Source organism: Homo sapiens, chromosome 6 (genome assembly GCF_000001405.40).
Source record: "Homo sapiens chromosome 6, GRCh38.p14 Primary Assembly".
NCBI classification, from domain to species: domain Eukaryota; kingdom Metazoa; phylum Chordata; class Mammalia; order Primates; family Hominidae; genus Homo; species Homo sapiens.
Window position 1 is genome coordinate 169255948 of NC_000006.12, and position 15044 is coordinate 169270991.

Here is a 15044-nt window from a genome sequence, read left to right on the forward strand (position 1 = left end):
GCCTCCTTCTGTAAAATCTGGCAGCCCAGAATCAGGGAAGTCTGTTTAGAGGAGACAGAAGGTAAGCCGATTGGAACATGGCCCGTGAATGGGGTGTCCCCAGTTGAGAAAGTATTTCAGGCAGAGAGAGTGGGTAGGTGTTCATGGTGCAAAGAACAGCAGGCTCCTGGTGCGGCACCCAGGCCAGGTGCATGGAATGGGCTTCATAGACGATGGAAGTCACAGAGAGTTTCCTGGCAGGGTGAGGCGGGACTTCATGGGCCCACTGTGCAGGGGACCAGAGGGGGAGTAGAGGGGACAGCCCCTGGTCAGCATCTTCCCTGGGCCCCCTGGGGGTGAGGAGGAAGGGAGATGTGAGGATGAAACAAAAAGCAGTCAGAGGCTTCGTCAGGAAAGCCAGCGATGCTGAGGGAAGCATCATCACATGTGTGCGCGGGAGGATGAGGGACAGACACGCAGCAGGTGGAATCATGTCCCCCCAAGTTCACATCCACCCCAAACCTGTGAATGAGCTTACTGGAAATACCACAGTGCTTGTGGATGAAATCAAGTGTAGATGTCGTCGAACTGATGTAGGACAGGCTCCAAATCTAATGGCTAGTGTTCTAATAAGAATAAAGAATATGAAGACGGAGACACAGGGCGAGCTCCGCTTGATGAAAGAGGCAGAGACCACAGTGATGCAACCACTAGCCAAGGTCACCAAGGGCTGCCAGAAACACCAGAACTGTGGGAGACAGGGAAGGGGCCTCTGCCAGAACATTCCGAGGACGTGCAGCCCTGCCACACACTGCATTTAAAACTGCTGGACTCCAGAACCATGGGACAATACATGTGTGTTGTTTGTGATACTTCATCATAGCGGGCCCAGGGAACTAATACAGGCACACCTTGGAGATACCGCAGGCTCGGTTCCACACCTCTGCAATAAAGTGAGTTGCATGGATTTGTGCTTTCCCAGTGCATATAAAAGGGATGTTTACACTCCACTATTGTCTATTAAGGGTGCAATAGCATTATGTCTAAGAGAACAATGTGCATATCTTAATTCTAAAACATTTCATTGCTCAAAACTACTAACCGTCATTTGAGCCTTCAATGAGCCGTCATCTTTTCGCTGGTGGAGAGTCTTGCCTCAATGCTGGTGGCTGCTGACTGATCAGGGTGGTGGTTGCTGATGGTTGGAGTGTCTGTAGCAGGTTCTTAGAGTAAGACCACAATGAAGTTTGCTGCATCTATGGACTCTTTTATAAAACGTTTCTCTGTAGCATATCATGGTTTTTGATAGCAGTTTACTCACACAATAACTTGTTTCAAAATTGATGTCCATTCTCTGAAATGCTGCTGCTGTTTTTTCAACTTAGCTTATGTAATAGTCTAAATTATTTGTTGTCATCTCAACATCTTCCCCAGGAGTGAAGCATTTCACAACATCTTCACTGGGAGTACATTTCATCTGAAAAAATCATTTTCTTTGCTCATCCTTAAGAAATAACTCCTGATCCATTCAAGTTTTATCATGAGAGTACAGCAATTCAGTCCCATCCTCAGGCCCAGCTTCTAACTCTACCTCTCTCACTCATTCCATCACATCTTCAGTGACTTCCTCTACTGAAGCCTTGAACCCTCAGGGTCATCCCTCATGGTGGGGTTTGGAAGAATCAGCTTCTTCCAAACTCCTGTCAGTGTTTATATTTTTCCTTTTCCCGTGAATCATGAATGTACTAGTGGCATCTAGAATGGTGAATCCTTTCCAGAAGGTTTTCAGTTGACTTTGCTCATATTCATCAGAGGAATCACTCTCTATGGCAGCTATAGCCTCATGAAATGTATTTCTTAAATAGTAAGACTTGAAAGTCCAAATGACTCCTTGACTGATGGGCTGCAGAGTGGATGTTGTGTTAGTTAGTAAGCATGAAAGCAACATCATCTCATTGAGCATTTCCATCAGAGTTCTTGGGTGACTAGGTGCATTGACCAAGAGCAGTAATATTCTAAAATAGATCATTTTTTGAGCAGTAGGTCTCAACAGTGGGTTTGAAATATTTAGTCAGCCATGCTGAGAACAGATTTGCTGTCATCTAGACTTTGTTGTTCCATTTAAAGAGCATAAGAATAATACCTTTAGCATAGCTCTTAAGGGCTAAAGATTTTCAGATTGGTAAATAAGCACAGGCTTCAACTTGAAGTCACCGGCTGCATTAGCCTCTAATAAAAGAGACAGCCTGGCCTTTGAATTTTTGAAGCCAGGCATTGACTTCTCCTCTGTAGCTATGACAGTTGGAGATGGCCTCTTCTAATGCAAGGCTGTTTCGTCTTCATTGAAAATCAGCTGTTGAGTGTAGCCACCTCCACAATGATTTTAGTTAGATCTTTTGGGTCACTTGCTGCAGCTTCTCCATCAGCACTTGCTGCTTCACCTTGCATTTTTGTCTTACAGAGATGGCTTCTTCCCTAAACTTCATGAACCAATCTCTGCCAGCTTCGAACTTTTCTTCTGCAGCTTCCTCATCTCTCTCAGACTTCACAGAATTGAAGAGAGTTAGAGCTTTGCTTAGATTAGGCTTTGGCCTCAGAGAATGTTGTGGCTGGTTTGATTTTCTCTCCAGGACACTCAAACTTTCTCCCTATCAATCAGCAATAAGGCTGTTCTGCTTTCTTATCAATGGAGTGTATTATATCCGATGGGCATATTTCAGTGGAAGCCGGATGGATGAGTCTAAAGCCTGGGCGATCCTTCATTAGAGATGATGTTTAAATCCATGGGCAGGAGACAGGTGAGGCCACTGGAAAGAGGAAGGCAGGAAGGGGCAGACAGAGCCTTAGGGCATGGACCTCTGGCTGGAGCTGAACCACAGGTGTGGTGAGGGAGAGGGCTCCCTTCTGCCCCAGAAACTCCTGTCCCTGAACCGTGGTTTCCGTTGTCAGGTTGTGCATGGACTGCGTCAGAAACAGCAAATCCTGGTGTGGCTCTGTTCCTTTCACAGTGACGCAGGGGGGTTGAAAAGCAACTGGACACATTGAATGTGCAGAGGCCTGAGCTGAAGAAAAGAGCACGGGCTGGGGACCAGGGCCAGGCACACTCGTCACAGCCCTTCTGACTCAGAGGTTTTTATATCACCTCCCCTTGCTCTTCTCTCTGGCCTGAACCTGCTTTCTAAGCACCCCAAGGTGATCTGGGGATACTTGCCGGATGGGCGCTGCTTGGAGCTTGTTAAAATTATCAAAAGAACAAGCAGACAGACTTCCCCTGCACGGCTTCTCCACCTGGAATGCGCACACAGGACACTGGGCCTGGCCCAAAGGCAGATTCCGACTCAGTAGGTGTGGGGTTGGGGAATCTGATGGTGGGTTTTGAACAAGCTCCCCTGCTCCAAGATCACGCTTGGAGTAGCAAGACTTTAGTGACTGTAACTCAGCAGGGCACTGTTATCCTGGCCACCACCCTGGGGTGGGTTTGTTGTCACACTCATTCTACAGAGGAGAAATCAAAGGTCCTGGCTCTGGCCTCGCCTTGTCGACCCTTGGGTCCTCGGGACCAGGATCCTTCCCTGGAGAGGGGCCCAGAATTCCCAGGGCCAGGGCTGAGGCCAGTCCCTCTGGCTTTGATTCCACCCAAGCTGCACTGACTTGGAGCATACACAGGAAAAGGAATGGGGGCTACTTTGTCGATTTGTTTGAGGCTCCATTTGCTCATCCATTTATTCAAAAATTACTCATTGAGCATCTGTGGCACCTAACACATCCCAGACACTGCAAACAGCACAGTACACATGAGGCATAAACAGGTCCCTGCCCTTTGGGGCTCCTATGTAGCCTGGCCTGCTGCCTAATTGAATTCCCACTAAGCCTCATGGAACTGTGGTCATCAGCTGATGCTCTGTGTCTTGTGTGACTGGAGCCCCCTACCTCACAGGTAACCGTAAGGGGTGAGCAGGAATCTTCTGCTCATTTCTGTTGTGCATAAATTCTAATTATGTCCCGGACACCACAGATTCCCTTTCCCAGGTGTTGTGCAAACATTCCAAGGCACGTGGCAGGGCCTTCTCGGACATTTGTGTGGCCCCCTTCTTCACCTGCCCAGCCATCACTCCCCTTGTAAACCCAGCGTGGACCTGAGCCCATGCGCTCCACATCAGGAGGCCCAGGGGCTGCGTTCATGGCCCAGGCTTCCTGTGGGCATAGCCCAAGCCCCCTCCCCCTATCCCCTGCCCTGGAGTGGAGGTCATCCCTGGAGTGGAGGGAGGCCATGCCTGGAGTGGAGGTCATGCCTGGAGTGGTGGGAGGTCATGCCTGGAGTGGAGAGAGGTCATCCCTGGAGTGGAGGTCATCCCTGGAGCAGAGGACATCCCTGGAGTGGAGGGAGATCATCCCTGGAGTGGAAGTCATCCCTGGAGTGGAGGTCATCCCTGGAGCAGAGGACATCCCTGGAGTGGAGGGAGATCATCCCTGGAGTGGAAGTCATCCCTGGAGTGGAGTGGAGGTCATCCCTAGAGTGGAGGGAGGTCATCCCTGGAGTGGAGGTCATGCCTGGAGTGGAGTGGAGGTCATCCCTAGAGTGGAGGGAGGTCATCCCTAGAGTGGAGGGAGGTCATCCCTGGAGTGGAGGTCATGCCTGGAGTGGAGGAAGGTCACCCCTGGAGTGGAGGAAGGTCATCCCTGGAGTGGAGGTCATGCCTGGAGTGGAGGGAGGTCACCCCTGGAGTGGAGGTCATCCCTGGAGTGGAGGGAGGTCATCTCTGGAGTGGAGGGAGGTAATCCCTGGAGTGGAGGTCATGCCTGGAGTGGAGGGAGGTCATCCCTGGAGTGGAGGGAGGTCATCCCTGGAGTGGAGGTCATGCCTGGAGTGGAGGGAGGTCATCCCTGGAGTGGAGGTCATCCCTGGAGTGGAGGGAGGACATCCCTGGAGTGGAGGTCATGCCTGGAGTGAAGGTCATGCTTGAGCAGGTGGATGTGTGTCACTTCATCCTCTTGCACTGAGCTGCCTGGACACCCAATTCATCCTCCCTATCCCAAGAGCCCCTTATTTCCTGGGTCATGCCTGTTTCCCTGCTGGACTGGAAGTGCCGGTGTTTCAGACACTGAATGTCTCCCTCACTTCCCCTCTTTGCCTCTCAGCCCCTACATTCACCTGCCCTCCATTTGGGGAGTTTGGTTTCCAGATTGTGGAGACTTTGATCTGGCCCAGCTTGCCTTCCTCCTGTTCTGCATGGGCCATTTGGATGACTAGCTTGGGCTGCCTTTTCCACCTGCTGAGACCTTTTGCCCCTTCATCACACACATTGACCTTGCCTCCAAGACTGCCACAGATGCGAGTTTGCTGGCTGTCCCCTCTGTGGCACTGGTCACTGACGGGAATGCTCATGGCCAGGACTGCGCACAGAGCTCACGGTCCTTCTCATGCCATTCTCAAATCGCTGTCCTCTGTCTGCCTTCCCTCCTCCCTACGTTATCAGCACCGCAGGCATCTGCTCCCTGGACTCAGAGTCTGTCTCTAATCACAGGGCTCAGAGTGTTCTATCTCTTTTAGGGACTCCCACTGTAACGGGGGATCTTTGGGACTGCACGACCACTTTAGAAACTTCTGGAATAATGGAAGTTTCAGGAAATGCATCTGCACAGATACTGCATCTTTACAAACTGAAGGTCTGTAGCAAGTCTGCAGGTGCCATTTCTCCAACAACAAGTGCTCACTTCATGGCTCTGTGTCATGCTTTGTAATTCTTATGCTATTTCACATTTTTTATTATTATTCTGTCTGTGCTGGTGACCTGTGATCAGTGGCCTTCAGTGTTAACTACCTTAATTGTTTGGGGCCATCAACAATTGCACCCATGTAAGATGGCGAACAAAATCGATGAGGATTGTGTGTGCTCTCACTTCCCCACCGAAGGCCGTTCCATCTCTCTCCCTCTCTTCCGGCCTCCCTCTTCCCTGAGATGCAACAATATTGAAATTAAGCCAATTAATAACCTACAATGGCCTCTAAGAGTTCAAGTGAAAGGGAGAGTTTTGATTTCTCACTGCAAATCAAAAGCTAGAACTAATTAAGCTTAGTGAGGAAGGCATATCAAAAGCTGAGACAGGCTGAAAGCTAGGCCTCTTGCTCCAAGCAGCGCCCATCCGGCAAGTATCCCCAGATCACCTTGGGGTGCTTAGGAAGCAGATTCAGGCCAGAGAGAAGAGCAAGGGGAGGTGATATAAAAACCTCTGAGTCAGAAGGGCTGTGACGAGTGTGCCTGGCCCTGGTCCCCAGCCCATGCTCTTTTCTTCAGCTCAGGCCTCTGCACATTCAATGTGTCCAGTTGCTTTTCAACCCCCCTGCGTCACTGTGAAAGGAACAGAGCCACACCAGGATTTGCTGTTTCTGACGCAGTCCATGCACAACCTGACAACGGAAATGGTTCAGGGACAGGAGTTTCTGGGGCAGAAAGGAGCCCTCTCCCTCACCACACCTGTGGTTCAGCTCCAGCCAGAGGTCCATGCCCTGGGGGCTCTGTCTGCCCCTCCCCACCTCCCTCTTTCCAGTGGCCTCACCTGTCTCCTGCCCATGGATTTAAACATCATGTCTAACGAAGGATTGCCCAGGCTTTAGACTCATCCATCTGGCTTCCACTGAAATACGCCCATCGGATGTAAAACTCCTCCCCGCTCCCCAGGAACAGAGGCCACCCCATCCCAACCTCCCCCAAACCAGCAAGTGTCCTGATCACTAGGCTCCACAAGGCAAGACCTCTGCGTCACCTCTGATTCTTATCCCTCCCTGGAACTGGGGTCCAATCCATCTGCAAGTCCCAAGAGCGCAGCCCTGGCCCAGGCCCCCTCCGTACCTCCTGCACTCGTGGCCACTACTGCAAACCCAGGGTTCCACCAGGCCCCCTCCGAGCCTCCTGCCCCCGCGGCCACTACTGCAAACCCAGGGTTCCACCAGGCCCCTCCGAGCCTCCTGCACCCGCGGCCACTACTGCAAACCCAGGGTTCCACCAGGCCCCTCCGAGCCTCCTGCACCCGCGGCCACTACTGCAAACCCAGGGTTCCACCAGGCCCCCTCCGAGCCTCCTGCACCCGCGGCCACTACTGCAAATCCAGGGCTCCACCAGGCCCCTCCGAGCCTCCTGCACCCGCGGCCACTACTGCAAACCCAGGGTTCCACCAGGCCCCCTCCGAGCCTCCTGCACCCGCGGCCACTACTGCAAATCCAGGGCTCCACCAGGCCCCTCCGAGCCTCCTGCACCCGCAGCCACTACTGCAAACCCAGGGTTCCACCATCTTCTCCCTCTGGATCCTGGCCATGGGAGTGGTCAGCGGACATCCTCACTCAGGGTCCCCAGGAAGCCACCTAGCCACCTTCTGACCAGCACAATCATAATAAAATGGGGACAAGCCTGGGGCCCTCTCCTAGGGAGCTGAGGCCACATCCCACAGAGTGCTCAGAACAGATCCCAGCCTAACAGCAGAGAGAGGTCAGTGGCTCACTAGTGCCAGGCATCCCAATCCTCCATCCCTGCACCCACCCTCCGAACAGCCCCTCCCCACACAGCAACCACAGGGACATCTGTGACGGAGACCCCACTGGAAAAATCCCCCAGGGACCTTCCAGTGCACTTAGTAAGAGCTGACTCTCACAGCTTCCTCCCATAGTCTGGCCCTGCCCCTTCCAAGCTTCCCCTCCCTCCCAGCTGCCCTTCTGTGCCTCAGATGCCGTCCTTGAGCTCTCTGTCCTTCTCCCATCACATCCTCAGAGGCTGGGTCTTTAGTCACCCAGACCCCAGGCCCAAACCCTCCTCCAAGGGTCTTCTCTGACCACTGGCCCCAAAACCCCCACCCTGCATCCCAGTCCCTTTCTGGGTCATTTCACTTTTTCCTTAGCATCTGTCAGCTGGCTGTCTCTGAGGTCAGCTGGCTGTCTCTGAGGTCAGCTTGCTGACCATTTACCACGCACATCCGGCTTCTTGCCCACCAGCATGAGCTCCTCTAGAAGAGAATCTTGGGACCAGCACCCAACCTTCCTCTCTCGGTTGCTCTGCATCCCCCACACAGAGCAGAGTGCAGCACAGAGCCAGTGATGGACACTGGCTGAGGGCATGAGTCTCTTGGCGGATGGGCCCGCTCTTGGCTGTGAGCCCGGGTGTTGGTGTTTAGCTGAGAGAGATGGAAAGTAGCCAAGCTGGTCTGACCAGAATCTGACTGGTGCTCACCACATGCCATCAGAGGAGAAGAAACTCTGGTTTTCACACAGAAATGAATGAACTAATATCTTTGTTCATTTGTTAAGTCAATCATAAACTTACTAAATACCATAAACCGAGGACTCTGCTAGTCAATGATCATGAACTAGCTGTGAACATAGCACTCAGCACCCTGAGCAGGTGCCGGCTGCAAACGTAGCACACAGAACCCTGAGCAGGCACCGGCTGTGAACGTAGCACACAGCACCCTGAGCAGACGCCGGCTGCGAACGTAGCACACAGCACCCAGAGCGGGCGCCGGCTGCGAATGTAGCACACAGCACCCAGAGCAGGTGCTGGCTGTGAACCTAGCACACAGCACCCTGAGCAGGTGCCGGCTGTGAACGTAGCACACAGCACCCTGCTTTTGTGGAGGGAGAATCCAGTGCAATGATGAGTTTTGAGGCTGCTTCTTACAGAGTTCTTTATCTGAGACATCAATCTCAAATCTAAGGAACAGAGCTGAGCTCCTACTTTCCGGAATTGAGAAGGACGGCTTCTGCCACCGGAAATCTGTGAGTGTCGCTGGCTCTGCAGAGCTTTCACTGTCACAGGTTCAGAATCCCCACTCCTGGTGGGCCCCAGAAAGCAGCTGCTCAGCATGGTGGGAGAGAGCAGGGCAGGGGCTCTGAGGATGGCGGAGGAAGCAGAGGGCCTGGTCCTGTGCTGTGGACACTGAGTTGTTTCACAGGGATGGGCACAGGAGCACAGGTCCAGGCCTCTCTGCATGCTGGAAGCAGTCGGTGCTCAGAGGAAAGAGAAACATCAGAGGCAGATCCAAGGTACCCAAATGGAGGCTGAGAGGTGGATGCAGGTGGGTACCCCAGACTACTGGTGAGTGAGTCCCTGACAGCAAAAAGAGAAGGGGTAGGTCTGGACCTACTTTTCGTATCCACAGGGATTGATGCCATCCACAGGGATAGACGCCATCCACAGGGATAAATGCCCGCCAAGTCTGGGCCTTCCGTTCAATGCATCTCCTCTGATCCTCACAAGCAGTGAGCATCATTGGCCGCATTTTACAGAGACTGAGAATCAAAGAAGCTAAGTAATGTGCTCAGGCCAAGGGCAGCAGAGCCCGCTGGCATCTGCTGGGCCTGCATCAGCTCTGTGCCTGTCCCCAAACATCACTGGGATACTCGGAGTTCTTGGAAATACTAGTGAAGGTGCCAGGTTGAGGGCCCAGCATGCCACGGAAAACACAGCATGGACCGCGGAGAAACAGGAGGGATAGAAGCCCTTTTTCAAATGCATCCCTGAGATCCCCCAGTGCATTCCCTGAGGGTGTCGGGGTCCCTTGATGTGCCCTCCTCCTCCTGAAGCTGGCACAAAGGCAGGGTGGGAGGGGAACAGCTTTGCAATTAGGATGAGCTGAGCTTTGCAATTAGGATGGACTGAGCTTTGCAATTAGGATGGGCTGACTGATAGCAACATCCACAGAAGCAGACATCAGTGCCACGAGGGTGGATCAGGCTCTGGGAGAGGATCCAGCTAGAGGTGGAGGAAGCACTTGAGGAAGGAAGTGCAGGGAAACCCCCATCTATGAAGTGGCAGGAATCAGAGCTTTAGGTGCAGCGCCCACACACATAGCATTAGCCCCCGTCTGAGGGGAGGTGCTAATCCTGGCTTGGGATGGCATTTAGGGCAGAGTGTGAAGGCACCCAAAGGAAGAGTCTTGGAACCCAGACAGGTGCCTGTGGCCCCGCAAGTGCAGATAGTGGGTTGAAAAGCAGCAGGGACAGGGGAGCGATTCTCAAGATGAGCTCGTCTTTGGGAAGCAGGGGAGCAGCCAGCGCCCTCGGCAAGGACTGAGTTCTCATAAGGCACCGGGCAGTGTCTCTCCGCCACCTGGGCCTCTCCCGGCTCCCCACCTCCTGTCTCTGAGCCGTGGTCACTCTGTGATGTTGCCTCTTAACAGTGTGGGCTCAGGGGCCACACACAAGGCCTCAGCTAAACAGGCCACAGAACAAGGAGGAGACCAGGAGGAGAGGGAGGGGAGGAGCAGCTGAAACTGAACAGATGAAGCTGGAGACACTGGCCTGGCCATAGAGACAGAAAGGCAGGTGCCCATGCCCCATGGCAACCCGGCTCCAATGCACACAGGTTTCCTGGAGGCAAACCCTGGTGTCAGGTTCTTTAATTCTGCACGGCTACTGTGCAGTGGAGGACACTGGGGCCACAGTACAATCTTGAGGTCACCTGGGCCCTGGCAGCAACATCTGGGGAGAGACCAGGAATCCAATCCTGCTCCTCTGACGAAGGGAGTGAGAAACAGGCCTGGCTGGGGGCCAGGGCCTTGCAGGAGCCAGCACAGGTTCTAAAAGGGTCCAGGCTTAGTGAGGATGCCAAGTTTAAGAGAGAAAATCCAAGGTGGGCTCATGCATGGAGTTGTGGGTGTGCAGAAGCATTGCCCCAGGACCAGGAGATGCTGGGGCTGGGCTGAAAACCTACGTCCGGCCTTGTCAGGAGGGACCCATGCAGAAGGGGAGGGCTGGGCTTAGGGTGTCCCCATTTCTAGAAGGTTCTTGAATTGGGAGAATACAGGGAACACAGGGATGGAAGAATAAGCCAGAGTGACGAGAGATTAAGGGCATTTCCCGTGACTGGATCCTGTGCCTGTTGTTAGTAAGGGAGCAACCTCTTCCTCTTATGAACAAGCCAATACGCTTCTCTCCAGTGTGGGAGCTTGTGTGTCCCAGGGCCCCCAGGGGTGGGGCAGGGGGTGTGCTGTCACTCCCATACACAGGGGTCAGTTGAGAGATCCTCTGGGGGTGGCTGCAGCCATCTCTTTTCCATGCAGAACCCGGGCTGGGCGGTCTCTGCTAACACTCATAAGGTCTCATCGGCTATTGAACCTGCAGAGCAGCAGCCTCGTTCAGTGAGAAGAAAGGGTTTTCGTCATGTCTTCAACAAGGATCCACTTGCATGCATTCATGTTGTCTAACTTGATAGAGATTCCTGGTACTTTTATTGTTTACAAATCCTAAAGGCTGTCATCCTATTAGTCATAATATAGAAAAAACCAGGTTCTGCCACACCAACCAGATCTAGGAATGGGGATGGCTGTTTTAGACACAGTCGGACCTATTTCCTGTCATCATATGTGATTAAGAAGCATGAACATTCATGTCACGTTTCAGCAGGATTCTGTCCTCATTTGCTTAACTTCAGGGGTGTTTTCTCTATATTCGTCTTCTGCAGGGAAACATGTTGGTCCTGAGTCACTCTCTGTGTGGTGTCCTGGGAGGATGCACACATGGCCGTGGCGTTTTCACAAACAGATTCATGTGACTGACATTTGCACAATATTTTTGTAATTAGGCAGGAATTTGAGCATGGAGACCAAGTTGAGGATGCTCAGCCATCGCCTCTGTGCTCACCACTCACTTGCTGTGTGCATGTGCGTGCCTTATTATTGTGGAATTTATTATTTAGTCAAAAAGGGCAGAAGAATTTCAGTGATTATAAAATACCCTAGCTAGCATGAGAGATGTAAATATGACTCCCAATATTGAGCAAGCTTAACCTTTTGCAAAAGGCCATCATGGAAAGAGTTTAGAGTATCTTTCTTTTCAGTGTCATTGTAAGTTAGTGATAAGGCCAAATTTTGCAAGATTCCCTAAAGTGTATGACCTCATAAAGAGGCCTCAGGTCCTTCATTTTCTACTCAGTTTTGGACGGTTTTGAAAAGTGCTTGGCAAACTGTGTATTACCCAGGGCTCTCCAGAGAAACAGAACCAATAGAGTGTGTGTGTGTGTGTGTGTGTGTGTGTGTGTGTGTGTAGAGAGAGAGAGAGAAAGAGATCTAGTATGAAGAATCAGATCACGTAATTAGGGAGGCTGACAAGACCCTAAGATCTGCAGTCAGCAAACTGTTGACCCAGGTTAGCTGGTGGTGTCGTTCTTGTCTGGAGGCTGACAGGCTCAATACCCAGGAGGAACCAATACTTTGATTCCAGCCCCAAAGAAGGAAAAAGCCTGATGTCTCAGCTCAAAGGCAATCAGGCAGGAGTTCTCTTATTTGGAGGAGGGTCAGCCTTTTTGTTCTGTTCAGGCCTTCAGCTGATGGGACAAGGCCCACCCACACTGGGGACGACCATCTGCTCTACTCAGTGTTCCAATTCGAAGGTTCATCTCATTCAGAGCATCCTCACAGATACCCCAGAAGTAGCATTCAACCAAATATCTGGGCACCCCATGGCCCAGTCAAGTTGACACATAAAATTAACCTTCACATCTTACATGAGCAAAAATTAAAAGCCCCAAAAGAAGAGAAAGCAAATGGATGGCCTCTGTTGAGTGGAGTTTCCCAGTGAGCACAGGTCAGCCATGAGCCATGCAATGACACTTATTAAGAACACACTCACTCCTCCAGCAACTGCCTTAAAGCTTCAGGGAAGGGAGGGGGGATAAAAAATAAGCCATAGCAGGAGGGGTTTAAAAGGAACCCATTTAGTTTAAATCTTTGATCCTGAAAGTGCTTCCTATCACATGCATTTTGGTGTGCTTCTAATTTTTGAAGATATGAAAAATGGAAAAGATGGAAATTTCTCTGATCGTCAAGTATTTTATTTCACTCATTTAGAAGAGCAGTTAGATGCGGAGAGGCTTTTAGGGTAGAATCAATGTTTGAACAACTAAAACTGCTCAGATTAAATGAAAATATAGGTGTGGATATGTGGATGTTTTTCTGGGGAGAAGGTCTATGGATTTCAGTTATACTACAGGGAGGCCCATGGCTCTAACTGGATTAAATGTTACTGCCTATAGTTACCTGGAACTTTGGAGTTTATAAAGAACTGCTGCGCTAGAACAAAAGCTCCATGAGAACATAAATTTTTAGTCTCTTTTCTTCCAGGGCCTAGAACAGTGCCTGGCATTAAGTACCAGCAATGAGTTTTCCCATGACATTCTTATTCTGGTCTTTGCATCTGCCCTGTACAGTAGATCATTAACAGCAGATAAATCACAGAAGCCCAGGGATTTTGAATACCCTCTGCAAAATGAGCCTGGAAGGCCAGAATCTTGCTGCCTTTCTCACTGCAAGTCCGGGCTCCACTCCTCAAACCAGGGGCTAAGAACTGCTGGTGCAGGAACCAAGGGTGGAAGAGATGGGCTGTGGGATACGGACCCCGCATGGAGCCATGCACCCTTGTTGCTGTCATTGCCGAGACCCTGCATGGAGCCATGCGCCCTTGTTGCTGTCATGGCCAAGAGTAAAGTTCATTTCATTGCCTGCTATAAAAGTAGAGATAAAATTTAACAAAATAAGTGAATTCCAAGATTTGCTCATGCATGTTCCAGCTCAGTTGTTTTGCAATGACGGAGGCAGGTGGGGCTCTGGACCCTGTTTACTATAATAAGTGGGAAGTAAGCTGGATGAGAGAATGTCAGCTGGAGCAGAAGTTGGAAACAGCCTTCTGCTCGTGGTGTGGGAGTTGACAGCAACAGAGGAATACCAGAATAAGTAGCTGAACTTAGAAAAGAAGTTAAAATTTGGAAACTGCTGTGGTTGTAAGAGAGATGAAATTGGAAGCAAAATCTATGAGTCAGTTCCTCATTCAAACATTGCAGGCCATGGGCCCTGAGACAAGAGATTTAGTATGTCTAAACCCTGTTTTATCTGTGCTGTCCCAGAAGCAGTCCAGAGTCTCTTCCTCAGAATGATGTGCCAAGGTCTTATAGGAAATTATAGAACAACGCAGGTTAATGTGTAAATCAAATAATAAAATGTTATCTGCCTTTACCAGCCCACATCTCACTTTCATTAGACTTGTCTGTACAAGACACTGAAGACTAAACTCTGATGTTTTATCTTGCCCGAATTCCTAAGGGGACTGGGGAGTCATGCCCTCTGATGAGTTTTACTTTCCAACCTGACTCTGGCATAACATTATGAGACAAAGAAGAAAATCAAAACATTTTACCCCAAATCATGTTTCTTTGTCATATTCTGAAATGGCCCTGCAAAGCTGTTCTTTGTGGGGGAAAATTTGCATCTGTAAAGAATCTCTATTAACATAGCTGCATATTTTTCTTCCAGACCCTCCCAATTCTAAAGAGATTAACTAAGATCTGAATAGGAAACATTTGTCACCTATTGTCTCTAAGGGCAGTCACTATAAGACTTCAAAAGAATTTTGGTCTCCACAATCTTTCTCTTAACCTGAACATTCCCTTTCTATACCAGGTCTTTAGACAAACTCAACCAATTGTCAACCAGAAAATGTTTAAATTCACCTGTAGTCTGGAAGCCCTGGCTTTGAGTTGTCCTGCCTTTCTGGACCTATCCAATGTATTTCTTAAATGTATCTGATTGATGTCTCATGCCTCTCTAAGATGCACACCGACCACCTTGGGCACATGTTCTCAGGACCTCCTGAGGGCTGTGTCACAGGCCGTGCTCACTCATATTTGGCCCAGGATAAATCTCCAAATATTTTACAGAGTTCAACTCAACGACTTTCAAAGTGCTTTATAATCATTAGCTCATTCAACTTTATAACACTGTATAAGGCAGAAAAAATAATTTTCTTAATAGATTTGTTCCTCTTAAATCATGCAAAATTCCATCCCATATTTCCAGGCTGGGATAAAAATAGTCACCGCTGGGCAATTCCTAAGAGGTAGAACATATAGTGAAGCCACTTGGGTATATATTCCAACTCCTTTGAGTCCAGAGTGGACTAGAAAAACATGTACCAAAAATATTTTGTCCTTTTATTCTCGCTTTTTAGAACTATTTCTTCTTTACCCACAAGATAGTGCCTGAAAAATTATCATTCTTCCACAAAGGCCAATCACTAATAGAAAAAC

At 50.2% G+C, this 15044-nt stretch overlaps 3 annotated features.

Moving 5' to 3' along the window:
* Positions 7013-7515: an enhancer, noted in NCBI's record as "H3K4me1 hESC enhancer chr6:169663055-169663557 (GRCh37/hg19 assembly coordinates)". NCBI's record gives its function as "activates a minimal SCP1, AML or CMV promoter by ChIP-STARR-seq in primed H9 embryonic stem cells {active_cell/tissue: H9 hESC(primed)}" and the evidence as "EXISTENCE:reporter gene assay evidence [ECO:0000049][PMID:30033119]".
* Positions 10159-10658: an enhancer, noted in NCBI's record as "H3K4me1 hESC enhancer chr6:169666201-169666700 (GRCh37/hg19 assembly coordinates)". NCBI's record gives its function as "activates a minimal SCP1, AML or CMV promoter by ChIP-STARR-seq in primed H9 embryonic stem cells {active_cell/tissue: H9 hESC(primed)}" and the evidence as "EXISTENCE:reporter gene assay evidence [ECO:0000049][PMID:30033119]".
* Positions 13911-14671: an enhancer, noted in NCBI's record as "OCT4-NANOG hESC enhancer chr6:169669953-169670713 (GRCh37/hg19 assembly coordinates)". NCBI's record gives its function as "activates a minimal SCP1, AML or CMV promoter by ChIP-STARR-seq in primed H9 embryonic stem cells {active_cell/tissue: H9 hESC(primed)}" and the evidence as "EXISTENCE:reporter gene assay evidence [ECO:0000049][PMID:30033119]".